Source organism: Homo sapiens, chromosome X (genome assembly GCF_000001405.40).
Source record: "Homo sapiens chromosome X, GRCh38.p14 Primary Assembly".
In the NCBI taxonomy this organism is placed as follows: Eukaryota; Metazoa; Chordata; class Mammalia; order Primates; family Hominidae; genus Homo; species Homo sapiens.
The window spans coordinates 49,541,022-49,568,750 of record NC_000023.11 but is presented as its reverse complement, the minus strand read 5'-3'; the positions used below and the strand labels follow the sequence as shown (position 1 = coordinate 49,568,750).

General features: G+C 44.8%; 3 protein-coding genes across 3 annotated transcripts; all 3 read right to left on the bottom strand.

The window, feature by feature from the left end:
- Positions 1-545: 545 nt before the first annotated feature.
- On the bottom strand, positions 546-7,909 carry GAGE12F (G antigen 12F). Its single transcript, NM_001098405.3, has 5 exons — positions 7,802-7,909; positions 6,671-6,762; positions 6,085-6,205; positions 3,131-3,256; positions 546-659 (listed from the first exon to the last, which is right to left on the bottom strand). The coding sequence occupies exons 2-5, from the start codon at positions 6,752-6,754 to the stop codon at positions 637-639; spliced, it is 354 nt and encodes a 117-aa protein (NP_001091875.1). The 5' UTR covers positions 6,755-6,762; positions 7,802-7,909; the 3' UTR covers positions 546-636.
- A 2,196-nt stretch (positions 7,910-10,105) lies between these two features.
- GAGE12E (G antigen 12E) lies at positions 10,106-17,462 on the bottom strand. Its single transcript, NM_001098418.3, has 5 exons — positions 17,355-17,462; positions 16,224-16,315; positions 15,638-15,758; positions 12,690-12,815; positions 10,106-10,218 (listed from the first exon to the last, which is right to left on the bottom strand). The coding sequence occupies exons 2-5, from the start codon at positions 16,305-16,307 to the stop codon at positions 10,196-10,198; spliced, it is 354 nt and encodes a 117-aa protein (NP_001091888.1). The 5' UTR covers positions 16,308-16,315; positions 17,355-17,462; the 3' UTR covers positions 10,106-10,195.
- Positions 17,463-19,656: 2,194 nt separating this feature from the next.
- Positions 19,657-27,018, bottom strand: GAGE12D (G antigen 12D). The gene is made up of 5 exons (NM_001127199.3): positions 26,911-27,018; positions 25,780-25,871; positions 25,194-25,314; positions 22,246-22,371; positions 19,657-19,770 (listed from the first exon to the last, which is right to left on the bottom strand). Exons 2-5 carry the CDS (start codon positions 25,861-25,863, stop codon positions 19,748-19,750), a joined length of 354 nt encoding a protein of 117 aa, NP_001120671.1. The 5' UTR covers positions 25,864-25,871; positions 26,911-27,018; the 3' UTR covers positions 19,657-19,747.
- Positions 27,019-27,729: the final 711 nt, after the last annotated feature.

Here is a 27,729-nt window from a genome sequence, read left to right as displayed (position 1 = left end):
CAGGATGATATGTTTCTGTATATTGAAGACTGAAAACGACCTAGAAGTAAACTTTAGAATTCACAAGCATATTTCACAAGGCCGCTGGATAGAAAACCAATATGTAAGAATTATGTCTCCACCGGGCACGGAGGCTCATGCCTGTAATCCCAGCACTTTGGGAGGCCAAGGCAGGTGAATCACGAGGTCAGGAGTTCAAGAGCACCCCGGCCAAGATGGCGAAAGCCCATCTCTAGTAAAAACACAAAACTTAGCCAGGCGTGCTGGTGGGTGCCTATAATCCCAGCTACTCGGGAGGCTGAGGCAGACAATTGCTTGAATCCGGGAGGCGGGGTTGCAGTGAGCAGAGATCGCGCCACTGCACTCCAGCCTGGGCGACAGAGCAAGACTCCGTCTCAAAAGAGGACAAAGAAAAAAAGAAAAAAAAAGAACGATGTCTCTACATACCAGCTCAGAGAGTTACAATACACGATTTCAAAGAATGATACATATTTCACAGCATCAAAAAGCTAGAAATAAACTTCACAAAAGATGCGCAAGACTTCTTTGCAGAAGGCTGTAAAGCTTTATTGGGAGAATTTTAATGAACAAATTTCCAACATAGGAGCAGCCTGCATCATTTCAACGTGTCTTCTTTTAACACTGTGATTGCTTTTCACCTGTAACAGAAACACAACGATTGGGAACATGACTTAGCAACAGATTATTCAGATGACCCTAAAGGCATACAAAGCACACTACAGTTTGGGTTTTATTAAATGGACTAAAAACAGAACCCTATGGGAGATCCCGTGTCTTACACGCAATTGAACCTCTGCATTAACTTTGAGCGTAGACCTGCAGAATTTAAAAGGAATTTCCTCCCTGAACATCAAGTGCTTCCTTTCAAGTCACAAGCACTTACAATTAACAGTCAGCAATTTGGAAAACACATGTGTAAAGCATACTTCAGTTGATTACTCAGGAAGTACTAGAGTCATGGTCTTTCAACTTCAAATCTTATCAATTCATGTCTCTAAAGGTGAAACTTACATGTAACATTTGATATGATTAGAGATGATTATATCGTATGTGTGTCTACAGTCTTATTAGAAATAGTGGCTCATGAAGACTGACAGTGGGGCAGGGAGCATGCATAGCACAGGCATCTTACTCACACCCATGCTGAGCATCACTGACCTACATGCCACAGATGATACGAACTAAACGGTCTCTCGCCATTTGATATTTATTTCAGTCACTCAAGGTTTCCGTGGGGAAAGTTTTAAGAAGCAATTGTACCATTTGACCCAGCCATCCCATTACTGGGTATATACCCAAAGGACTATAAATCATGCTGCTATAAAGACACATGCACACGTATGTTTATTGCGGCATTATTCACGATAGCAAAGACTTGGAACCAACCCAAATGTCCAACAACGATAGACTGGATTAAGAAAATGTGGCACATATACACCATGGAATACTATGCAGCCCTAAAAAATGATGAGTTCATGTCCTTTGTAGGGACATGGATGAAACTGGAAATCATCATTCTCAGTAAACTATTGCAAGAACAAAAAACCAAACACCGCATATTCTCACTCATAGGTGGGAACTGAACAATGAGATCACATGGACAGAGGAAGGGGAATATCACACCCTGGGGACTGCTGTCGGGTGGGGGGAGGGGGGAGGGATAGCACTGGGAGATGTACCTAATGCTAGATGATGAGATAGTGGGTGCAGCGCACCAGCATGGCACATGTATACATATGTAACTAACCTGCACAACGTGCACATGTACCCTAAAACTTAAAGTATAATGATAAATAAATAAATAAATAAATAAATAAATAAATAAATAAATAAAAGAAAAAAAAAGAAGCAATTGTTCATTAAAAGCCAGAGAAACCCTGCCTGGGCAACACAGTGAGACCTCATCTCTACAAAAATGAAAACAAAAAAATGTAGTCAGGCACGGTGGCTTGTGCATGTAGTTCCAGCCACTCGGGAGGCTGAGGTGGGAGGACGGCTTTAGCCTGGGAGCCAGAAGTTGCAGTGAGCTGAAATTGCATCACTGCACTCCAGCCTGGGTGACACACTGAGACTCTGTCGCAAACAAACAAACCAAGAAGAGGGAGAATTCACAATTTCACAAGATCTTACACTACGTATTCAGCTCTCCACACGGAAAAACTAGGATGAAGCAGAGGGCCCGCTCACTGTCTTACTGACAATGAAATCTCAATTCAGAGATTTTCAGATGACTCGGGCCAGGGTTTCATGATTTGTGATTAACAAACCATGCGAAGCAGATGATCTCTGTGTCCCACGCATTCTATGCAACAGGATCAGAGTATGAAAGAAACGGAATGCAAAATGGTTTTAAAATCTCTGACTTAAACTCACTATTTTCATAAGAACCAAAGATAGGTTTAGAAGGGAAAGGACTCACTCAGAATCTCGCCAAGGCTGTAAGAGCTGGTATTAGAACCCGCATGAGTGCTTCAGCATTTTTCACACCAAGTGATGGGTGTTACAAACGTGTTATGTATTGATTAAAAGCAGACCTTTACAAAAGCATCTGAAAATTGTGAGCTACTGGTTTAAGGATTTACACTCAAAACTTTTAATTCAACATAGCTTTGACTCAGTTTGTTTCCCTACCTGACAGTCTATCAGTCGGGTGCTGGGGCCTGAACTACGTTTCAAATAACCTTTATATAAGAACTCTGTTACTAAAGAGGCAGTATTGTTACCTCTCCGTTATTAAAAATATAATGCTGGGTCGGGCACGGTGGCTCTCGCCTGTAATCCCGGCAATTTCAATGGTCGAGGCAGGTGGATCACCTGAGGTCAGGAGTTCGGGAACAACCTGTGCAACATAACGAAACCCTGTCTCTACTAAAAATACAACAATTAGCTGGGCGCGGCGGAGCATGCCTGTAAGCCCGGCTCCGCCAGAGGCTCAGGCAGGAGAATCACTTGAACCCTGGAGACAGAATTTCCAGTGAGCCGAAATGGCACCACTGCACTCCAGCCTGGTCTTCAGAGCGAGACTCCGTCTCAAAAACATAGTAACAATTACAATATGATACTGTGGAAACAGACACCCTACAATGTGCATGCCTAATGGATTGCCTACCTTCTTCAGGCGTTTTCACCTCCTCTGGATTTGGCGGGTCCATCTCCTGCCCATCAGGACCATCTTCACACTCACACCCAGTCTGTGGGTGACCCTGTTCCTGGCTATGAGCTTCAGGCTTCGGCCCTTAAAAATAAAAAATACGTATCAATTTAAGCAGTAAAACATAAAGTATGAATAAGAAAATAATATTCATGCTCTCGGTATTATTATATAAAAGCTTTAGCTAACGTAATAATAAATGTGTTGATAAGAATCCCAGGAACATTATTTCAGGAGTCCATTAGCAGAAAACAGGAAAACAAGGTGTTCCAAATAATACCCTCTTCCTTTCCGAAGACTGCCCTCAGACAACTTTGCTGCCTCCTTTGCACTTCTCTCTTATTCTACTTCTGATTGTCCTTCTCGTATTAAATGACTCAAGGCTCAAATCCCGTCTCTCACAGCACTTACACTCCTAGCGCTTAGACTCTTACATGGCATGAGTAGCCACCAATAAACGCTGAGTGAGAAAACTCTTTTAAAAATACATGAAAAAGCCCAAACTGCAGAATATTCTGCAAACCAACTGGTCTATCCTCTCCAAAAATGTCCGTATCGTGAATGACAAGAAAAATTAAGGAAACATTACAGGTTAAAGGAAACTAAAAACACCTGAAAAGCACATGCAAGGTGTGATTCTGAACTGGACTCTGGATCAGAAAAAGAAATCCTATCAATAAAATTATCTGGGCCGGGCGTGGGGTCTCACGCCTGCAATCCAAACATTTTGGGATGCCAAGGTGGGCAGAGCAGGTGAGGCCAGAAGTTCAAGACCGCAGTGGCCGGCGCCTGTAGTCCCAGCTACACGGGAGGCTGAGGCATGAGAATCCCTAGAACCTGGGAGGTGTAGGTTGCAGTGAGCCGAGATCGCACTACTGCACTCCCACCTGGCCCACAGAGAGAGACTCCGTCTCAACAAAGAAAAAAAAAAGGAAAAAAGAAATTTTCTGGGGAACTGGCAAAATTTGAGTATGCACTCTGTATTAAATGACTCCATTTTCTCATTGTTAAATTTCCTGATTTTTATCTTTGTGCAGTGATGATCCAAGAAATGACTTTCTCTTTGTTCTGACGATATACACACCCTCAAGTACATAGGGTAAAGGACCATAATCCCTGAAACTTTATCGAGACAATTCACCATTAATAACAGTAAACATATATCCGTATGTGTGTGTGTGTGTGTGTGTGTGAGTGTGTGGGCAGCACGGTAAGAGACGGAGGGAAGAGATGTGAAACCTATGAAGCGAAAGCTACTAACAATTGGTGAATCCAGATGAACAGTATATGAGTTCATTGTACTATTCTTGCAAATTTTCTATGAATGTTATGTCTTGAAGATACATACAGTAAAAATTTAAAAGAATATATGATAACTGCACTGAACTTTAGGAAGAAAGGAATTTCCAATTGTGGTAAAAAATACAGATATCCTAAAATTTACCATCTTAACTATTTTTAAGTGGTACAGTTCACTAAGGAGTTACGTTTGCAACATTACCAGCCACTAGGCACAAAAACTTTGCATCTGTGTTTTCCTATACCATGAAAACTTTATTTATTTAATGAATTTATTTATGTGTTTATTTATTTATTCATTTATTTATTTATTAGCAATGAGGTCTCACTGTGTTTCCCAGGCTGGGCTTGAACTCCAGGACTCAAGCAATCCTCTCACCTCGGCCTCCCAAGTAGCTGGGACTATGAGTGCATGGCATTCAGCCCAGCTTTAGACCTTTCTCCTAAATGACAATCTAAGGATAAACCACAGGACATGTATAATGCTTATATTCAGCCCTAGAGTACCAACAGCAGTGTGCGTCAGCTGAGAAATCTGAAGTCTACCACGTGGGTAGGATTTCAGTTACAATTACAATGTCAGTTTCTGAAGGATTGATTAGCTGGATGGATTTGAGGACTATGGAAATCTTACAGTCACGACACCCATTACCTATTGGGGTAAAGAGAAACTTCACTTTGTTCAAATAAAGTTATATTTAGGTCCGAAGGTCCTAAAGGTAATATTCCATAAATGAACCCCGTGAAGAACAAAGCACCAAATATAACATTGTTTGTGAATCACAGAAAATATACTGTCCCCCGCACTGAGAATAAGGGAGTGGGCGGACAGCAATTAATGGGCATTGTTGTCAGTCAGATTCTAGGAACTTTTAACAGTGCATCCCTGGAATAATCCATGACCTCCGTTACATAAATGCTTCCTTTCAAAACATTTTATCTCGGAGAAATTATTTCCATCTCACGTTAATCTCAGGATAATTCCGTTTTTGCTTTTCTAACCATAAAAGGATTTAATCACCTCCTAAAGGCCGCTGAGAAAAATCACTAAACCAGCTACCTGTATGGCAGTATCCTCATTTATCCAGCTTTTATCAAACGTACCATATAAAAATATCAATCAAAGGAAACGGGGGCCAACATTCAGCGACTCGGTTTTTGGAGCTGCTCCTGCTCCTCTGAACTGGGTCTATTCTTGGGTCAGTACTAAGCTACCTTACAGTAAAGCCTTTTGAGTTTTAAGCATTTTCAGCAAAATCACTTCCTTCTTTACAGCAACATACATGATAGGAAGACACAAACCTTGGAACACAGTACAAATGTTGTATTCACCAGTCAAGGGTTCTTGGATAACACACAATCCTGGCACCTCCATTCTCTCATTCATAAAGTCGAGATCTTTTACCATAGTGAGGGATTTGCCTAAGCTAAGCTGCGAACTACATAGCCTCCTCGCTTTTCCAGTCAATTTCAGGCATTCTTTCCATTGTTTTCTTTCCTCCTCTTCCTCCTATGTGACAATGCCTAACACACACACACACACGTGCACACACACACACACGAACACACACACACGCACACACCAGCAGACGTTCTTCTTCCCTTTCCCTCACCTTGACCTGCAGATGCTCCCTCATCCTCTCCCTCCTGAGCAGCTGCAGGATCCTGACGTTGAGTTGCTGGTTCCCCTTCTTCAGGTGTTGCTGGTTCCACTTCATCACTGAACTGCTCGGGCTGGGGAATACGTGTGGGTGTGCAAATAAAAAATAAGTTTCGTTATTGATACAAAATTTTACATATATACACAGAATACATAGCTATTTCTGGTCCTAACTAAGCCTAAAGACATTTCTCCAACTCTATGCTCTATGCCCAATAAGGTTACTCCACCCACAGGGAGGTTACTGTGAGAAAAGTGACGCACGAGGACTTTGGGGGCTATTATACTCTGTGTTGGAATACATGTGTACAATCTGTCATTAACAAACAAAGCCGGAGAAAGAAGTCATGGGCAAAAGCTGAAGAACACGAGAGGAAAAAAAAAATCCTCCAGAATCAATGTTTCCTTCATGAGATGCCATCCTCATTTTTTATGAGCAGGAAAGACCTTTATCAGCATTTCCACACTAATGCAACGACGCTATCACAAAAATTAATTTCTACTAATAGAAAACATCGAATTAACGTTTAAGCACTCACCCGCATAGGCCCAATCATTTCAGGAGGCTGTACATAGCGCCTTGGTCTAGGCCAATAATAGGTCGATCTTCCTCGCCAACTCATATTTCACACTGAAAACAGACAACCGTGATTGGGAACGTGCGCTCCAGAGGGCTGCTATATTCGATCACTTCCATGGATAAATGTTAACTTGCCGTTTTACTTTTGAAAATACTCTCAAAATAAGTCCCAGAGTTAAGCATACGTGTGTACGCTGTCTGAGTGCCTACAAAGCCACTTCTGCTGGCCAGGCTGGCAGAGCAATCATCTTAAGGCGTGTGGCAAAAGGCAGAGGACATTTTTTTCTAAATTTCTTTTGGACACGCGGTCTCGCTGTGTTGCTCAGGCTGGAGTGCAGCGGCGTGATCACAGCTCACTGCAGCCTCGACCTCCCGCTCAAGGGATCCTCCCACCTCAGTGTCCCCAGTAACTGGGAATACGTAGGCGAGCGCCACTGCGCCCCGCAGACAGAGGTCATTTCTGATGAGGTTTAGTTTCACAAGTGCACTCCCCACGAAAACCCTAGTGAATCACAATTCTCGTGATTGCTGCTTTGGGCACACTCCCACTTCCTAGAGCCATTCACCCCCACTCACAACAAGTTTGGTTGGACCGCACTGCCTCGCCCACTCCTTCCCACTGTTTTCGGACCTTCCATGGCGGAGGTGAGACCTTGCAGTGCTTCTCACTCGGGCGCTCCGCACTCCACACCGCTGAGGGGGCGCTCGCCAGGCCGCAGCCTTCCCAGGTGCCAGGCCCCTTCTTCACCGCCCGCCTCGCCCCCGCCGGGGGCCCCATTCAGGGAATCTGCCCTGTGTCGTCGGGGATCCCGGCACCTCGGGACTTCCATCCCCCCAACAGCACTCACCCCGTCTTCACCTGAGCCCCTGACCGCCTCCCCTCCACGGCCCACCTTCCTCCCCGTCCAGGCCCCTTCACGACCACGAAGCCGCCGGTGGCCTCGCAGCCTGTGAAGGGAAGGAGGACGACCTCGTGGCCCTTCTCCCTCGGAGGCCACAGACCAGGAAGCGGGACCCGCCTGACCCACCCGAGGCCCTCTCCACCCTCACTCACACTTCAGCCCCCGGGATGACTGGCCTGCACACCTACCAGATGAATCTCAGTAGAGGAAAAAGAGTCCGGACGGCAGGAACCACACAGCACTGCCTCACAGCTCCCTGGCGTTCTTCACGTGGGCGAAGGGGCCGGGCAGAAGACGCCCAGTGAACATGCGCACTGAGGCGGGAGCCCAGGGAGCATGCGCGGCTGTGGGCTGGGGAGGGCTGCCGTTCCCAGCGCCACGCCCCAAACCCTCCATGCCCATCCTCATTGAGGATAAGGGAATCCCACCTCCCTCTGCTGTTTCCTATGCCTCTGGGACTCAAGTAGTGCTCCCCTCAAAACTCACCCCATCTTCAACTGAACCCCACCCCCAACCCAGGGCCCTCTCTTGCCCCGGACCCACCATGGGGACAAGGACCACTGTGACTGGCTGGGAAGACAGGTAAACCACCTGCGAAAACAGAAATAGCAACCTATCCCAAAAGGAAATTGTTCAATGTGAACAAGTCAGAGAAAGAGACTGAAAGAAAAATGAATAGAATCGCTAGGACCCGTAAGAAAATGCTAAAACGATATCTATCATTTGTAGCATCAGAATCGCAGAGGGTGAAGTGACAGTATTAGGGAAACAGGACAGCCAGAGTGACACCACGTGAAAATATACTCCGTCTTGAAAGCAGCAAGATACATAGTCCTACCAGTCACAACCCATGGTCCTAAGATGTTTGGAGTTGAGAAAACAGATGAAAGGTACCTCCAAGGACATGCTCCCACAGCAGCGGAAAGTGCACGGTTCCCAACACCCATTAACAATATATGCTTTCAACAGAATTATGCTTTCATGGACTTACACACTGGTAAGTCAAGGACAGTTTTCTTTAAATCAATAGAATGATAAAAGTCATCATGCTCTTAGCCCACCCGCACAAAGGCACAGATTAACTTTAGTCTTTATATAGATAAGACCCCTATATAAGAAAAACCAGACCAGGCCAAGGCTCACGCCTGTAATCCTAGTATTTTGGGAGGCTGAGCTGGCCAGATCACCTGAGCTCAGGACTTCGAGACCAGCCTAAGCAACATCAGAAAATCTCATCACTACAAAAAACAAACAAAAAACCATCGAAAAATTAGCTGGGCATGGTGGCATGTACCTATACTCACAGCTCCTCAGGAGGCTGAGGTGGGAGGCGCGCTTGAGCCCAGGAGGTCAAGGCTGCAGCGAGCTCTGATAACACCACCGCACTCCAGCCTCGGTGACAGAGTGAGACGCTGTCTCAAGTTTTAATAATCGAACCTAAAAACGTACAAATTTATCAATCGAATTCACTATATTAACACATGAATGGGAAAAAACGCTGTGGTAATCGAAATAGATGCACTGTTTGATGAAAATCAACATATATTCAAATGAATACTCTCAGCAAATTTGGAACAGAATGCAATGACTCACTCTGATAAAGTCCGTCTACAAAAAAAGGAGAGTGAATAGGATGGTGAAATGTTGAAATTTTTCGGTTTCTCATCAGGGATAAGACAAGGATGTCCACTGTCACCATTGTAACGGGTGGGTCTGCGCAATGCCATAAAATCAGAAAAGGAAATAAAACTCTTTACAATGGCAACGACGGGCCCGCCACGGTGGCCCACGCCAGTAATCCCAGCACTGTGGGAGGTGAGGTGGGTGCATCACTTGCACTCAAAAGTTCAACAACAGCCCGGGAAACATGGCAAAACCCCGTCTCTACAAAAAAATACAAAAGGGAAAAGAAAAAAATATGGCGGAAACAAAACTGCTCTTATTCCAGGATGATATGTTTCTGTATATTGAAGACTGAAAACGACCTAGAAGTAAACTTTAGAATTCACAAGCATATTTCACAAGGCCGCTGGATAGAAAACCAATATGTAAGAATTATGTCTCCACCGGGCGCGGAGGCTCATGCCTGTAATCCCAGCACTTTGGGAGGCCAAGGCAGGTGAATCACGAGGTCAGGAGTTCAAGAGCACCCCGGCCAAGATGGCGAAAGCCCATCTCTAGTAAAAACACAAAACTTAGCCAGGCGTGCTGGTGGGTGCCTATAATCCCAGCTACTCGGGAGGCTGAGGCAGACAATTGCTTGAATCCGGGAGGCGGGGTTGCAGTGAGCAGAGATCGCGCCACTGCACTCCAGCCTGGGCGACAGAGCAAGACTCCGTCTCAAAAGAGGACAAAGAAAGAAAGAAAAAAAAAAGAACGATGTCTCTACATACCAGCTCAGAGAGTTACAATACACGATTTCAAAGAATGATACATATTTCACAGCATCAAAAAGCTAGAAATAAACTTCACAAAAGATGCGCAAGACTTCTTTGCAGAAGGCTGTAAAGCTTTATTGGGAGAATTTTAATGAACAAATTTCCAACATAGGAGCAGCCTGCATCATTTCAACGTGTCTTCTTTTAACACTGTGATTGCTTTTCACCTGTAACAGAAACACAACGATTGGGAACATGACTTAGCAACAGATTATTCAGATGACCCTAAAGGCATACAAAGCACACTACAGTTTGGGTTTTATTAAATGGACTAAAAACAGAACCCTATGGGTGATCCCGTGTCTTACACGCAATTGAACCTCTGCATAAACTTTGAGCGTAGACCTGCAGAATTTAAAAGGAATTTCCTCCCTGAACATCAAGTGCTTCCTTTCAAGTCACAAGCACTTACAATTAACAGTCAGCAATTTGGAAAACACATGTGTAAAGCATACTTCAGTTGATTACTCAGGAAGTACTAGAGTCATGGTCTTTCAACTTCAAATCTTATCAATTCATGTCTCTAAAGGTGAAACTTACATGTAACATTTGATATGATTAGAGATGATTATATCGTATGTGTGTCTACAGTCTTATTAGAAATAGTGGCTCATGAAGACTGACAGTGGGGCAGGGAGCATGCATAGCACAGGCATCTTACTCACACCCATGCTGAGCATCACTGACCTACATGCCACAGATGATACGAACTAAACGGTCTCTCGCCATTTGATATTTATTTCAGTCACTCAAGGTTTCCGTGGGGAAAGTTTTAAGAAGCAATTGTACCATTTGACCCAGCCATCCCATTACTGGGTATATACCCAAAGGACTATAAATCATGCTGCTATAAAGACACATGCACACGTATGTTTATTGCGGCATTATTCACGATAGCAAAGACTTGGAACCAACCCAAATGTCCAACAACGATAGACTGGATTAAGAAAATGTGGCACATATACACCATGGAATACTATGCAGCCCTAAAAAATGATGAGTTCATGTCCTTTGTAGGGACATGGATGAAACTGGAAATCATCATTCTCAGTAAACTATTGCAAGAACAAAAAACCAAACACCGCATATTCTCACTCATAGGTGGGAACTGAACAATGAGATCACATGGACAGAGGAAGGGGAATATCACACCCTGGGGACTGTTGTCGGGTGGGGGGAGGGGGGAGGGATAGCACTGGGAGATGTACCTAATGCTAGATGATGAGATAGTGGGTGCAGCGCACCAGCATGGCACATGTATACATATGTAACTAACCTGCACAACGTGCACATGTACCCTAAAACTTAAAGTATAATGATAAATAAATAAATAAATAAATAAATAAATAAATAAATAAAAGAAAAAAAAAGAAGCAATTGTTCATTAAAAGCCAGAGAAACCCTGCCTGGGCAACACAGTGAGACCTCATCTCTACAAAAATGAAAACAAAAAAATGTAGTCAGGCACGGTGGCTTGTGCATGTAGTTCCAGCCACTCGGGAGGCTGAGGTGGGAGGACGGCTTTAGCCTGGGAGCCAGAAGTTGCAGTGAGCTGAAATTGCATCACTGCACTCCAGCCTGGGTGACACACTGAGACTCTGTCGCAAACAAACAAACAAACCAAGAAGAGGGAGAATTCACAATTTCACAAGATCTTACACTACGTATTCAGCTCTCCACACGGAAAAACTAGGATGAAGCAGAGGGCCCGCTCACTGTCTTACTGACAATGAAATCTCAATTCAGAGATTTTCAGATGACTCGGGCCAGGGTTTCATGATTTGTGATTAACAAACCATGCGAAGCAGATGATCTCTGTGTCCCACGCATTCTATGCAACAGGATCAGAGTATGAAAGAAACGGAATGCAAAATGGTTTTAAAATCTCTGACTTAAACTCACTATTTTCATAAGAACCAAAGATAGGTTTAGAAGGGAAAGGACTCACTCAGAATCTCGCCAAGGCTGTAAGAGCTGGTATTAGAACCCGCATGAGTGCTTCAGCATTTTTCACACCAAGTGATGGGTGTTACAAACGTGTTATGTATTGATTAAAAGCAGACCTTTACAAAAGCATCTGAAAATTGTGAGCTACTGGTTTAAGGATTTACACTCAAAACTTTTAATTCAACATAGCTTTGACTCAGTTTGTTTCCCTACCTGACAGTCTATCAGTCGGGTGCTGGGGCCTGAACTACGTTTCAAATAACCTTTATATAAGAACTCTGTTACTAAAGAGGCAGTATTGTTACCTCTCCGTTATTAAAAATATAATGCTGGGTCGGGCACGGTGGCTCTCGCCTGTAATCCCGGCAATTTCAATGGTCGAGGCAGGTGGATCACCTGAGGTCAGGAGTTCGGGAACAACCTGTGCAACATAACGAAACCCTGTCTCTACTAAAAATACAACAATTAGCTGGGCGCGGCGGAGCATGCCTGTAAGCCCGGCTCCGCCAGAGGCTCAGGCAGGAGAATCACTTGAACCCTGGAGACAGAATTTCCAGTGAGCCGAAATGGCACCACTGCACTCCAGCCTGGTCTTCAGAGCGAGACTCCGTCTCAAAAACATAGTAACAATTACAATATGATACTGTGGAAACAGACACCCTACAATGTGCATGCCTAATGGATTGCCTACCTTCTTCAGGCGTTTTCACCTCCTCTGGATTTGGCGGGTCCATCTCCTGCCCATCAGGACCATCTTCACACTCACACCCAGTCTGTGGGTGACCCTGTTCCTGGCTATGAGCTTCAGGCTTCGGCCCTTAAAAATAAAAAATACGTATCAATTTAAGCAGTAAAACATAAAGTATGAATAAGAAAATAATATTCATGCTCTCGGTATTATTATATAAAAGCTTTAGCTAACGTAATACTAAATGTGTTGATAAGAATCCCAGGAACATTATTTCAGGAGTCCATTAGCAGAAAACAGGAAAACAAGGTGTTCCAAATAATACCCTCTTCCTTTCCGAAGACTGCCCTCAGACAACTTTGCTGCCTCCTTTGCACTTCTCTCTTATTCTACTTCTGATTGTCCTTCTCGTATTAAATGACTCAAGGCTCAAATCCCGTCTCTCACAGCACTTACACTCCTAGCGCTTAGACTCTTACATGGCATGAGTAGCCACCAATAAACGCTGAGTGAGAAAACTCTTTTAAAAATACATGAAAAAGCCCAAACTGCAGAATATTCTGCAAACCAACTGGTCTATCCTCTCCAAAAATGTCCGTATCGTGAATGACAAGAAAAATTAAGGAAACATTACAGGTTAAAGGAAACTAAAAACACCTGAAAAGCACATGCAAGGTGTGATTCTGAACTGGACTCTGGATCAGAAAAAGAAATCCTATCAATAAAATTATCTGGGCCGGGCGTGGGGTCTCACGCCTGCAATCCAAACATTTTGGGATGCCAAGGTGGGCAGAGCAGGTGAGGCCAGAAGTTCAAGACCGCAGTGGCCGGCGCCTGTAGTCCCAGCTACACGGGAGGCTGAGGCATGAGAATCCCTAGAACCTGGGAGGTGTAGGTTGCAGTGAGCCGAGATCGCACTACTGCACTCCCACCTGGCCCACAGAGAGAGACTCCGTCTCAACAAAGAAAAAAAAAAGGAAAAAAGAAATTTTCTGGGGAACTGGCAAAATTTGAGTATGCACTCTGTATTAAATGACTCCATTTTCTCATTGTTAAATTTCCTGATTTTTATCTTTGTGCAGTGATGATCCAAGAAATGACTTTCTCTTTGTTCTGACGATATACACACCCTCAAGTACATAGGGTAAAGGACCATAATCCCTGAAACTTTATCGAGACAATTCACCATTAATAACAGTAAACATATATCCGTATGTGTGTGTGTGTGTGTGTGTGTGAGTGTGTGGGCAGCACGGTAAGAGACGGAGGGAAGAGATGTGAAACCTATGAAGCGAAAGCTACTAACAATTGGTGAATCCAGATGAACAGTATATGAGTTCATTGTACTATTCTTGCAAATTTTCTATGAATGTTATGTCTTGAAGATACATACAGTAAAAATTTAAAAGAATATATGATAACTGCACTGAACTTTAGGAAGAAAGGAATTTCCAATTGTGGTAAAAAATACAGATATCCTAAAATTTACCATCTTAACTATTTTTAAGTGGTACAGTTCACTAAGGAGTTACGTTTGCAACATTACCAGCCACTAGGCACAAAAACTTTGCATCTGTGTTTTCCTATACCATGAAAACTTTATTTATTTAATGAATTTATTTATGTGTTTATTTATTTATTCATTTATTTATTTATTAGCAATGAGGTCTCACTGTGTTTCCCAGGCTGGGCTTGAACTCCAGGACTCAAGCAATCCTCTCACCTCGGCCTCCCAAGTAGCTGGGACTATGAGTGCATGGCATTCAGCCCAGCTTTAGACCTTTCTCCTAAATGACAATCTAAGGATAAACCACAGGACATGTATAATGCTTATATTCAGCCCTAGAGTACCAACAGCAGTGTGCGTCAGCTGAGAAATCTGAAGTCTACCACGTGGGTAGGATTTCAGTTACAATTACAATGTCAGTTTCTGAAGGATTGATTAGCTGGATGGATTTGAGGACTATGGAAATCTTACAGTCACGACACCCATTACCTATTGGGGTAAAGAGAAACTTCACTTTGTTCAAATAAAGTTATATTTAGGTCCGAAGGTCCTAAAGGTAATATTCCATAAATGAACCCCGTGAAGAACAAAGCACCAAATATAACATTGTTTGTGAATCACAGAAAATATACTGTCCCCCGCACTGAGAATAAGGGAGTGGGCGGACAGCAATTAATGGGCATTGTTGTCAGTCAGATTCTAGGAACTTTTAACAGTGCATCCCTGGAATAATCCATGACCTCCGTTACATAAATGCTTCCTTTCAAAACATTTTATCTGGGAGAAATTATTTCCATCTCACGTTAATCTCAGGATAATTCCGTTTTTGCTTTTCTAACCATAAAAGGATTTAATCACCTCCTAAAGGCCGCTGAGAAAAATCACTAAACCAGCTACCTGTATGGCAGTATCCTCATTTATCCAGCTTTTATCAAACGTACCATATAAAAATATCAATCAAAGGAAACGGGGGCCAACATTCAGCGACTCGGTTTTTGGAGCTGCTCCTGCTCCTCTGAACTGGGTCTATTCTTGGGTCAGTACTAAGCTACCTTACAGTAAAGCCTTTTGAGTTTTAAGCATTTTCAGCAAAATCACTTCCTTCTTTCCAGCAACATACATGATAGGAAGACACAAACCTTAGAACACAGTACAAATGTTGTATTCACCAGTCAAGGGTTCTTGGATAACACACAATCCTGGCACCTCCATTCTCTCATTCATAAAGTCGAGAACTTTTATCATAGTGAGGGATTTGCCTAAGCTAAGCTGCAAACTACATAGCCTCCTCGCTTTTCCAGTCAATTTCAGGCATTCTTTCCATTGTTTTCTTTCCTCCTCTTCCTCCTATGTGACAATGCCTAACACACACACACGTGCACACACACACAGGAACACACACACACGCACACACCAGCAGACGTTCTTCTTCCCTTTCCCTCACCTTGACCTGCAGATGCTCCCTCATCCTCTCCCTCCTGAGCAGCTGCAGGATCCTGACATTGAGTTGCTGGTTCCCCTTCTTCAGGTGTTGCTGGTTCCACTTCATCACTGAACTGCTCGGGCTGGGGAATACGTGTGGGTGTGCAAATAGAAAATAAGTTTCGTTATTGATACAAAATTTTACATATATACACAGAATACATAGCTATTTCTGGTCCTAACTAAGCCTAAAGACATTTCTCCAACTCTATGCTCTATGCCCAATAAGGTTACTCCACCCACAGGGAGGTTACTGTGAGAAAAGTGACGCACGAGGACTTTGGGGGCTATTATACTCTGTGTTGGAATACATGTGTACAATCTGTCATTAACAAACAAAGCCGGAGAAAGAAGTCATGGGCAAAAGCTGAAGAACACGAGAGGAAAAAAAAAATCCTCCAGAATCAATGTTTCCTTCATGAGATGCCATCCTCATTTTTTATGAGCAGGAAAGACCTTTATCAGCATTTCCACACTAATGCAACGACGCTATCACAAAAATTAATTTCTACTAATAGAAAACATCGAATTAACGTTTAAGCACTCACCCGCATAGGCCCAATCATTTCAGGAGGCTGTACATAGCGCCTTGGTCTAGGCCAATAATAGGTCGATCTTCCTCGCCAACTCATATTTCACACTGAAAACAGACAACCGTGATTGGGAACGTGCGCTCCAGAGGGCTGCTATATTCGATCACTTCCATGGATAAATGTTAACTTGCCGTTTTACTTTTGAAAATACTCTCAAAATAAGTCCCAGAGTTAAGCATACGTGTGTACGCTGTCTGAGTGCCTACAAAGCCACTTCTGCTGGCCAGGCTGGCAGAGCAATCATCTTAAGGCGTGTGGCAAAAGGCAGAGGACATTTTTTTCTAAATTTCTTTTGGACACGCGGTCTCGCTGTGTTGCTCAGGCTGGAGTGCAGCGGCGTGATCACAGCTCACTGCAGCCTCGACCTCCCGCTCAAGGGATCCTCCCACCTCAGTGTCCCCAGTAACTGGGAATACGTAGGCGAGCGCCACTGCGCCCCGCAGACAGAGGTCATTTCTGATGAGGTTTAGTTTCACAAGTGCACTCCCCACGAAAACCCTAGTGAATCACAATTCTCGTGATTGCTGCTTTGGGCACACTCCCACTTCCTAGAGCCATTCACCCCCCCTCACAACAAGTTTGGTTGGACCGCACTGCCTCGCCCACTCCTTCCCACTGTTTTCGGACCTTCCATGGCGGAGGTGAGACCTTGCAGTGCTTCTCACTCGGGCGCTCCGCACTCCACACCGCTGAGGGGGCGCTCGCCAGGCCGCAGCCTTCCCAGGTGCCAGGCCCCTTCTTCACCGCCCGCCTCGCCCCCGCCGGGGGCCCCATTCAGGGAATCTGCCCTGTGTCGTCGGGGATCCCGGCACCTCGGGACTTCCATCCCCCCAACAGCACTCACCCCGTCTTCACCTGAGCCCCTGACCGCCTCCCCTCCACGGCCCACCTTCCTCCCCGTCCAGGCCCCTTCACGACCACGAAGCCGCCGGTGGCCTCGCAGCCTGTGAAGGGAAGGAGGACGACCTCGTGGCCCTTCTCCCTCGGAGGCCACAGACCAGGAAGCGGGACCCGCTTGACCCACCCGAGGCCCTCTCCACCCTCACTCACACTTCAGCCCCCGGGATGACTGGCCTGCACACCTACCAGATGAATCTCAGTAGAGGAAAAAGAGTCCGGACGGCAGGAACCACACAGCACTGCCTCACAGCTCCCTGGCGTTCTTCACGTGGGCGAAGGGGCCGGGCAGAAGACGCCCAGTGAACATGCGCACTGAGGCGGGAGCCCAGGGAGCATGCGCGGCTGTGGGCTGGGGAGGGCTGCCGTTCCCAGCGCCACGCCCCAAACCCTCCATGCCCATCCTCATTGAGGATAAGGGAATCCCACCTCCCTCTGCTGTTTCCTATGCCTCTGGGACTCAAGTAGTGCTCCCCTCAAAACTCACCCCATCTTCAACTGAACCCCACCCCCAACCCAGGGCCCTCTCTTGCCCCGGACCCACCATGGGGACAAGGACCACTGTGACTGGCTGGGAAGACAGGTAAACCACCTGCGAAAACAGAAATAGCAACCTATCCCAAAAGGAAATTGTTCAATGTGAACAAGTCAGAGAAAGAGACTGAAAGAAAAATGAATAGAATCGCTAGGACCCGTAAGAAAATGCTAAAACGATATCTATCATTTGTAGCATCAGAATCGCAGAGGGTGAAGTGACAGTATTAGGGAAACAGGACAGCCAGAGTGACACCACGTGAAAATATACTCCGTCTTGAAAGCAGCAAGATACATAGTCCTACCAGTCACAACCCATGGTCCTAAGATGTTTGGAGTTGAGAAAACAGATGAAAGGTACCTCCAAGGACATGCTCCCACAGCAGCGGAAAGTGCACGGTTCCCAACACCCATTAACAATATATGCTTTCAACAGAATTATGCTTTCATGGACTTACACACTGGTAAGTCAAGGACAGTTTTCTTTAAATCAATAGAATGATAAAAGTCATCATGCTCTTAGCCCACCCGCACAAAGGCACAGATTAACTTTAGTCTTTATATAGATAAGACCCCTATATAAGAAAAACCAGACCAGGCCAAGGCTCACGCCTGTAATCCTAGTATTTTGGGAGGCTGAGCTGGCCAGATCACCTGAGCTCAGGACTTCGAGACCAGCCTAAGCAACATCAGAAAATCTCATCACTACAAAAAACAAACAAAAAACCATCGAAAAATTAGCTGGGCATGGTGGCATGTACCTATACTCACAGCTCCTCAGGAGGCTGAGGTGGGAGGCGCACTTGAGCCCAGGAGGTCAAGGCTGCAGCGAGCTCTGATAACACCACCGCACTCCAGCCTCGGTGACAGAGTGAGACGCTGTCTCAAGTTTTAATAATCGAACCTAAAAACGTACAAATTTATCAATCGAATTCACTATATTAACACATGAATGGGAAAAAACGCTGTGGTAATCGAAATAGATGCACTGTTTGATGAAAATCAACATATATTCAAATGAATACTCTCAGCAAATTTGGAACAGAATGCAATGACTCACTCTGATAAAGTCCGTCTACAAAAAAAGGAGAGTGAATAGGATGGCGAAATGTTGAAATTTTTCGGTTTCTCATCAGGGAGAAGACAAGGATGTCCACTGTCACCATTGTAACGGGTGGGTCTGCGCAATGCCATAAAATCAGAAAAGGAAATAAAACTCTTTACAATGCCAACGACGGGCCCGCCACGGTGGCCCACGCCAGTAATCCCAGCACTGTGGGAGGTGAGGTGGGTGCATCACTTGCACTCAAAAGTTCAACAACAGCCCGGGAAACATGGCAAAACCCCGTCTCTACAAAAAAATACAAAAGGGAAAAGAAAAAAATATGGCGGAAACAAAACTGCTCTTATTCCAGGATGATATGTTTCTGTATATTGAAGACTGAAAACGACCTAGAAGTAAACTTTAGAATTCACAAGCATATTTCACAAGGCCGCTGGATAGAAAACCAATATGTAAGAATTATGTCTCCACCGGGCACGGAGGCTCATGCCTGTAATCCCAGCACTTTGGGAGGCCAAGGCAGGTGAATCACGAGGTCAGGAGTTCAAGAGCACCCCGGCCAAGATGGCGAAAGCCCATCTCTAGTAAAAACACAAAACTTAGCCAGGCGTGCTGGTGGGTGCCTATAATCCCAGCTACTCGGGAGGCTGAGGCAGACAATTGCTTGAATCCGGGAGGCGGGGTTGCAGTGAGCAGAGATCGCGCCACTGCACTCCAGCCTGGGCGACAGAGCAAGACTCCGTCTCAAAAGAGGACAAAGAAAAAAAGAAAAAAAAAGAACGATGTCTCTACATACCAGCTCAGAGAGTTACAATACACGATTTCAAAGAATGATACATATTTCACAGCATCAAAAAGCTAGAAATAAACTTCACAAAAGATGCGCAAGACTTCTTTGCAGAAGGCTGTAAAGCTTTATTGGGAGAATTTTAATGAACAAATTTCCAACATAGGAGCAGCCTGCATCATTTCAACGTGTCTTCTTTTAACACTGTGATTGCTTTTCACCTGTAACAGAAACACAACGATTGGGAACATGACTTAGCAACAGATTATTCAGATGACCCTAAAGGCATACAAAGCACACTACAGTTTGGGTTTTATTAAATGGACTAAAAACAGAACCCTATGGGAGATCCCGTGTCTTACACGCAATTGAACCTCTGCATTAACTTTGAGCGTAGACCTGCAGAATTTAAAAGGAATTTCCTCCCTGAACATCAAGTGCTTCCTTTCAAGTCACAAGCACTTACAATTAACAGTCAGCAATTTGGAAAACACATGCGTAAAGCATACTTCAGTTGATTACTCAGGAAGTACTAGAGTCATGGTCTTTCAACTTCAAATCTTATCAATTCATGTCTCTAAAGGTGAAACTTACATGTAACATTTGATATGATTAGAGATGATTATATCGTATGTGTGTCTACAGTCTTATTAGAAATAGTGGCTCATGAAGACTGACAGTGGGGCAGGGAGCATGCATAGCACAGGCATCTTACTCACACCCATGCTGAGCATCACTGACCTACATGCCACAGATGATACGAACTAAACGGTCTCTCGCCATTTGATATTTATTTCAGTCACTCAAGGTTTCCGTGGGGAAAGTTTTAAGAAGCAATTGTACCATTTGACCCAGCCATCCCATTACTGGGTATATACCCAAAGGACTATAAATCATGCTGCTATAAAGACACATGCACACGTATGTTTATTGCGGCATTATTCACGATAGCAAAGACTTGGAACCAACCCAAATGTCCAACAACGATAGACTGGATTAAGAAAATGTGGCACATATACACCATGGAATACTATGCAGCCCTAAAAAATGATGAGTTCATGTCCTTTGTAGGGACATGGATGAAACTGGAAATCATCATTCTCAGTAAACTATTGCAAGAACAAAAAACCAAACACCGCATATTCTCACTCATAGGTGGGAACTGAACAATGAGATCACATGGACAGAGGAAGGGGAATATCACACCCTGGGGACTGCTGTCGGGTGGGGGGAGGGGGGAGGGATAGCACTGGGAGATGTACCTAATGCTAGATGATGAGATAGTGGGTGCAGCGCACCAGCATGGCACATGTATACATATGTAACTAACCTGCACAACGTGCACATGTACCCTAAAACTTAAAGTATAATGATAAATAAATAAATAAATAAATAAATAAATAAATAAATAAATAAAAGAAAAAAAAAGAAGCAATTGTTCATTAAAAGCCAGAGAAACCCTGCCTGGGCAACACAGTGAGACCTCATCTCTACAAAAATGAAAACAAAAAAATGTAGTCAGGCACGGTGGCTTGTGCATGTAGTTCCAGCCACTCGGGAGGCTGAGGTGGGAGGACGGCTTTAGCCTGGGAGCCAGAAGTTGCAGTGAGCTGAAATTGCATCACTGCACTCCAGCCTGGGTGACACACTGAGACTCTGTCGCAAACAAACAAACAAACCAAGAAGAGGGAGAATTCACAATTTCACAAGATCTTACACTACGTATTCAGCTCTCCACACGGAAAAACTAGGATGAAGCAGAGGGCCGGCTCACTGTCTTACTGACAATGAAATCTCAATTCAGAGATTTTCAGATGACTCGGGCCAGGGTTTCATGATTTGTGATTAACAAACCATGCGAAGCAGATGATCTCTGTGTCCCACGCATTCTATGCAACAGGATCAGAGTATGAAAGAAACGGAATGCAAAATGGTTTTAAAATCTCTGACTTAAACTCACTATTTTCATAAGAACCAAAGATAGGTTTAGAAGGGAAAGGACTCACTCAGAATCTCGCCAAGGCTGTAAGAGCTGGTATTAGAACCCGCATGAGTGCTTCAGCATTTTTCACACCAAGTGATGGGTGTTACAAACGTGTTATGTATTGATTAAAAGCAGACCTTTACAAAAGCATCTGAAAATTGTGAGCTACTGGTTTAAGGATTTACACTCAAAACTTTTAATTCAACATAGCTTTGACTCAGTTTGTTTCCCTACCTGACAGTCTATCAGTCGGGTGCTGGGGCCTGAACTACGTTTCAAATAACCTTTATATAAGAACTCTGTTACTAAAGAGGCAGTATTGTTACCTCTCCGTTATTAAAAATATAATGCTGGGTCGGGCACGGTGGCTCTCGCCTGTAATCCCGGCAATTTCAATGGTCGAGGCAGGTGGATCACCTGAGGTCAGGAGTTCGGGAACAACCTGTGCAACATAACGAAACCCTGTCTCTACTAAAAATACAACAATTAGCTGGGCGCGGCGGAGCATGCCTGTAAGCCCGGCTCCGCCAGAGGCTCAGGCAGGAGAATCACTTGAACCCTGGAGACAGAATTTCCAGTGAGCCGAAATGGCACCACTGCACTCCAGCCTGGTCTTCAGAGCGAGACTCCGTCTCAAAAACATAGTAACAATTACAATATGATACTGTGGAAACAGACACCCTACAATGTGCATGCCTAATGGATTGCCTACCTTCTTCAGGCGTTTTCACCTCCTCTGGATTTGGCGGGTCCATCTCCTGCCCATCAGGACCATCTTCACACTCACACCCAGTCTGTGGGTGACCCTGTTCCTGGCTATGAGCTTCAGGCTTCGGCCCTTAAAAATAAAAAATACGTATCAATTTAAGCAGTAAAACATAAAGTATGAATAAGAAAATAATATTCATGCTCTCGGTATTATTATATAAAAGCTTTAGCTAACGTAATAATAAATGTGTTGATAAGAATCCCAGGAACATTATTTCAGGAGTCCATTAGCAGAAAACAGGAAAACAAGGTGTTCCAAATAATACCCTCTTCCTTTCCGAAGACTGCCCTCAGACAACTTTGCTGCCTCCTTTGCACTTCTCTCTTATTCTACTTCTGATTGTCCTTCTCGTATTAAATGACTCAAGGCTCAAATCCCGTCTCTCACAGCACTTACACTCCTAGCGCTTAGACTCTTACATGGCATGAGTAGCCACCAATAAACGCTGAGTGAGAAAACTCTTTTAAAAATACATGAAAAAGCCCAAACTGCAGAATATTCTGCAAACCAACTGGTCTATCCTCTCCAAAAATGTCCGTATCGTGAATGACAAGAAAAATTAAGGAAACATTACAGGTTAAAGGAAACTAAAAACACCTGAAAAGCACATGCAAGGTGTGATTCTGAACTGGACTCTGGATCAGAAAAAGAAATCCTATCAATAAAATTATCTGGGCCGGGCGTGGGGTCTCACGCCTGCAATCCAAACATTTTGGGATGCCAAGGTGGGCAGAGCAGGTGAGGCCAGAAGTTCAAGACCGCAGTGGCCGGCGCCTGTAGTCCCAGCTACACGGGAGGCTGAGGCATGAGAATCCCTAGAACCTGGGAGGTGTAGGTTGCAGTGAGCCGAGATCGCACTACTGCACTCCCACCTGGCCCACAGAGAGAGACTCCGTCTCAACAAAGAAAAAAAAAAGGAAAAAAGAAATTTTCTGGGGAACTGGCAAAATTTGAGTATGCACTCTGTATTAAATGACTCCATTTTCTCATTGTTAAATTTCCTGATTTTTATCTTTGTGCAGTGATGATCCAAGAAATGACTTTCTCTTTGTTCTGACGATATACACACCCTCAAGTACATAGGGTAAAGGACCATAATCCCTGAAACTTTATCGAGACAATTCACCATTAATAACAGTAAACATATATCCGTATGTGTGTGTGTGTGTGTGTGTGTGAGTGTGTGGGCAGCACGGTAAGAGACGGAGGGAAGAGATGTGAAACCTATGAAGCGAAAGCTACTAACAATTGGTGAATCCAGATGAACAGTATATGAGTTCATTGTACTATTCTTGCAAATTTTCTATGAATGTTATGTCTTGAAGATACATACAGTAAAAATTTAAAAGAATATATGATAACTGCACTGAACTTTAGGAAGAAAGGAATTTCCAATTGTGGTAAAAAATACAGATATCCTAAAATTTACCATCTTAACTATTTTTAAGTGGTACAGTTCACTAAGGAGTTACGTTTGCAACATTACCAGCCACTAGGCACAAAAACTTTGCATCTGTGTTTTCCTATACCATGAAAACTTTATTTATTTAATGAATTTATTTATGTGTTTATTTATTTATTCATTTATTTATTTATTAGCAATGAGGTCTCACTGTGTTTCCCAGGCTGGGCTTGAACTCCAGGACTCAAGCAATCCTCTCACCTCGGCCTCCCAAGTAGCTGGGACTATGAGTGCATGGCATTCAGCCCAGCTTTAGACCTTTCTCCTAAATGACAATCTAAGGATAAACCACAGGACATGTATAATGCTTATATTCAGCCCTAGAGTACCAACAGCAGTGTGCGTCAGCTGAGAAATCTGAAGTCTACCACGTGGGTAGGATTTCAGTTACAATTACAATGTCAGTTTCTGAAGGATTGATTAGCTGGATGGATTTGAGGACTATGGAAATCTTACAGTCACGACACCCATTACCTATTGGGGTAAAGAGAAACTTCACTTTGTTCAAATAAAGTTATATTTAGGTCCGAAGGTCCTAAAGGTAATATTCCATAAATGAACCCCGTGAAGAACAAAGCACCAAATATAACATTGTTTGTGAATCACAGAAAATATACTGTCCCCCGCACTGAGAATAAGGGAGTGGGCGGACAGCAATTAATGGGCATTGTTGTCAGTCAGATTCTAGGAACTTTTAACAGTGCATCCCTGGAATAATCCATGACCTCCGTTACATAAATGCTTCCTTTCAAAACATTTTATCTCGGAGAAATTATTTCCATCTCACGTTAATCTCAGGATAATTCCGTTTTTGCTTTTCTAACCATAAAAGGATTTAATCACCTCCTAAAGGCCGCTGAGAAAAATCACTAAACCAGCTACCTGTATGGCAGTATCCTCATTTATCCAGCTTTTATCAAACGTACCATATAAAAATATCAATCAAAGGAAACGGGGGCCAACATTCAGCGACTCGGTTTTTGGAGCTGCTCCTGCTCCTCTGAACTGGGTCTATTCTTGGGTCAGTACTAAGCTACCTTACAGTAAAGCCTTTTGAGTTTTAAGCATTTTCAGCAAAATCACTTCCTTCTTTCCAGCAACATACATGATAGGAAGACACAAACCTTAGAACACAGTACAAATGTTGTATTCACCAGTCAAGGGTTCTTGGATAACACACAATCCTGGCACCTCCATTCTCTCATTCATAAAGTCGAGAACTTTTATCATAGTGAGGGATTTGCCTAAGCTAAGCTGCAAACTACATAGCCTCCTCGCTTTTCCAGTCAATTTCAGGCATTCTTTCCATTGTTTTCTTTCCTCCTCTTCCTCCTATGTGACAATGCCTAACACACACACACGTGCACACACACACACGAACACACACACACGCACACACCAGCAGACGTTCTTCTTCCCTTTCCCTCACCTTGACCTGCAGATGCTCCCTCATCCTCTCCCTCCTGAGCAGCTGCAGGATCCTGACATTGAGTTGCTGGTTCCCCTTCTTCAGGTGTTGCTGGTTCCACTTCATCACTGAACTGCTCGGGCTGGGGAATACGTGTGGGTGTGCAAATAAAAAATAAGTTTCGTTATTGATACAAAATTTTACATATATACACAGAATACATAGCTATTTCTGGTCCTAACTAAGCCTAAAGACATTTCTCCAACTCTATGCTCTATGCCCAATAAGGTTACTCCACCCACAGGGAGGTTACTGTGAGAAAAGTGACGCACGAGGACTTTGGGGGCTATTATACTCTGTGTTGGAATACATGTGTACAATCTGTCATTAACAAACAAAGCCGGAGAAAGAAGTCATGGGCAAAAGCTGAAGAACACGAGAGGAAAAAAAAAATCCTCCAGAATCAATGTTTCCTTCATGAGATGCCATCCTCATTTTTTATGAGCAGGAAAGACCTTTATCAGCATTTCCACACTAATGCAACGACGCTATCACAAAAATTAATTTCTACTAATAGAAAACATCGAATTAACGTTTAAGCACTCACCCGCATAGGCCCAATCATTTCAGGAGGCTGTACATAGCGCCTTGGTCTAGGCCAATAATAGGTCGATCTTCCTCGCCAACTCATATTTCACACTGAAAACAGACAACCGTGATTGGGAACGTGCGCTCCAGAGGGCTGCTATATTCGATCACTTCCATGGATAAATGTTAACTTGCCGTTTTACTTTTGAAAATACTCTCAAAATAAGTCCCAGAGTTAAGCATACGTGTGTACGCTGTCTGAGTGCCTACAAAGCCACTTCTGCTGGCCAGGCTGGCAGAGCAATCATCTTAAGGCGTGTGGCAAAAGGCAGAGGACATTTTTTTCTAAATTTCTTTTGGACACGCGGTCTCGCTGTGTTGCTCAGGCTGGAGTGCAGCGGCGTGATCACAGCTCACTGCAGCCTCGACCTCCCGCTCAAGGGATCCTCCCACCTCAGTGTCCCCAGTAACTGGGAATACGTAGGCGAGCGCCACTGCGCCCCGCAGACAGAGGTCATTTCTGATGAGGTTTAGTTTCACAAGTGCACTCCCCACGAAAACCCTAGTGAATCACAATTCTCGTGATTGCTGCTTTGGGCACACTCCCACTTCCTAGAGCCATTCACCCCCACTCACAACAAGTTTGGTTGGACCGCACTGCCTCGCCCACTCCTTCCCACTGTTTTCGGACCTTCCATGGCGGAGGTGAGACCTTGCAGTGCTTCTCACTCGGGCGCTCCGCACTCCACACCGCTGAGGGGGCGCTCGCCAGGCCGCAGCCTTCCCAGGTGCCAGGCCCCTTCTTCACCGCCCGCCTCGCCCCCGCCGGGGGCCCCATTCAGGGAATCTGCCCTGTGTCGTCGGGGATCCCGGCACCTCGGGACTTCCATCCCCCCAACAGCACTCACCCCGTCTTCACCTGAGCCCCTGACCGCCTCCCCTCCACGGCCCACCTTCCTCCCCGTCCAGGCCCCTTCACGACCACGAAGCCGCCGGTGGCCTCGCAGCCTGTGAAGGGAAGGAGGACGACCTCGTGGCCCTTCTCCCTCGGAGGCCACAGACCAGGAAGCGGGACCCGCCTGACCCACCCGAGGCCCTCTCCACCCTCACTCACACTTCAGCCCCCGGGATGACTGGCCTGCACACCTACCAGATGAATCTCAGTAGAGGAAAAAGAGTCCGGACGGCAGGAACCACACAGCACTGCCTCACAGCTCCCTGGCGTTCTTCACGTGGGCGAAGGGGCCGGGCAGAAGACGCCCAGTGAACATGCGCACTGAGGCGGGAGCCCAGGGAGCATGCGCGGCTGTGGGCTGGGGAGGGCTGCCGTTCCCAGCGCCACGCCCCAAACCCTCCATGCCCATCCTCATTGAGGATAAGGGAATCCCACCTCCCTCTGCTGTTTCCTATGCCTCTGGGACTCAAGTAGTGCTCCCCTCAAAACTCACCCCATCTTCAACTGAACCCCACCCCCAACCCAGGGCCCTCTCTTGCCCCGGACCCACCATGGGGACAAGGACCACTGTGACTGGCTGGGAAGACAGGTAAACCACCTGCGAAAACAGAAATAGCAACCTATCCCAAAAGGAAATTGTTCAATGTGAACAAGTCAGAGAAAGAGACTGAAAGAAAAATGAATAGAATCGCTAGGACCCGTAAGAAAATGCTAAAACGATATCTATCATTTGTAGCATCAGAATCGCAGAGGGTGAAGTGACAGTATTAGGGAAACAGGACAGCCAGAGTGACACCACGTGAAAATATACTCCGTCTTGAAAGCAGCAAGATACATAGTCCTACCAGTCACAACCCATGGTCCTAAGATGTTTGGAGTTGAGAAAACAGATGAAAGGTACCTCCAAGGACATGCTCCCACAGCAGCGGAAAGTGCACGGTTCCCAACACCCATTAACAATATATGCTTTCAACAGAATTATGCTTTCATGGACTTACACACTGGTAAGTCAAG

Excerpts from the sequence above, each read along its gene's own strand:
- GAGE12F (NM_001098405.3), bottom strand. The coding sequence starts at position 6,754 with ATGAGTTGGCGAGGAAGATCGACCTATTATTGGCCTAGACCAAGGCGC. Across the intron at positions 3,257-6,084 it reads GGGAGCATCTGCAGGTCAAG|GGCCGAAGCCTGAAGCTCAT; the intron begins GTGAGGGAAAGG and ends TTTATTTTTAAG. Across the intron at positions 660-3,130 it reads GGTGAAAACGCCTGAAGAAG|GTGAAAAGCAATCACAGTGT; the intron begins GTAGGCAATCCA and ends TTTCTGTTACAG.
- GAGE12E (NM_001098418.3), bottom strand. The coding sequence starts at position 16,307 with ATGAGTTGGCGAGGAAGATCGACCTATTATTGGCCTAGACCAAGGCGC. Across the intron at positions 12,816-15,637 it reads GGGAGCATCTGCAGGTCAAG|GGCCGAAGCCTGAAGCTCAT; the intron begins GTGAGGGAAAGG and ends TTTATTTTTAAG. Across the intron at positions 10,219-12,689 it reads GGTGAAAACGCCTGAAGAAG|GTGAAAAGCAATCACAGTGT; the intron begins GTAGGCAATCCA and ends TTTCTGTTACAG.
- GAGE12D (NM_001127199.3), bottom strand. The coding sequence starts at position 25,863 with ATGAGTTGGCGAGGAAGATCGACCTATTATTGGCCTAGACCAAGGCGC. Across the intron at positions 25,315-25,779 it reads AAATGATTGGGCCTATGCGG|CCCGAGCAGTTCAGTGATGA; the intron begins GTGAGTGCTTAA and ends CGTATTCCCCAG. Across the intron at positions 19,771-22,245 it reads GGTGAAAACGCCTGAAGAAG|GTGAAAAGCAATCACAGTGT; the intron begins GTAGGCAATCCA and ends TTTCTGTTACAG.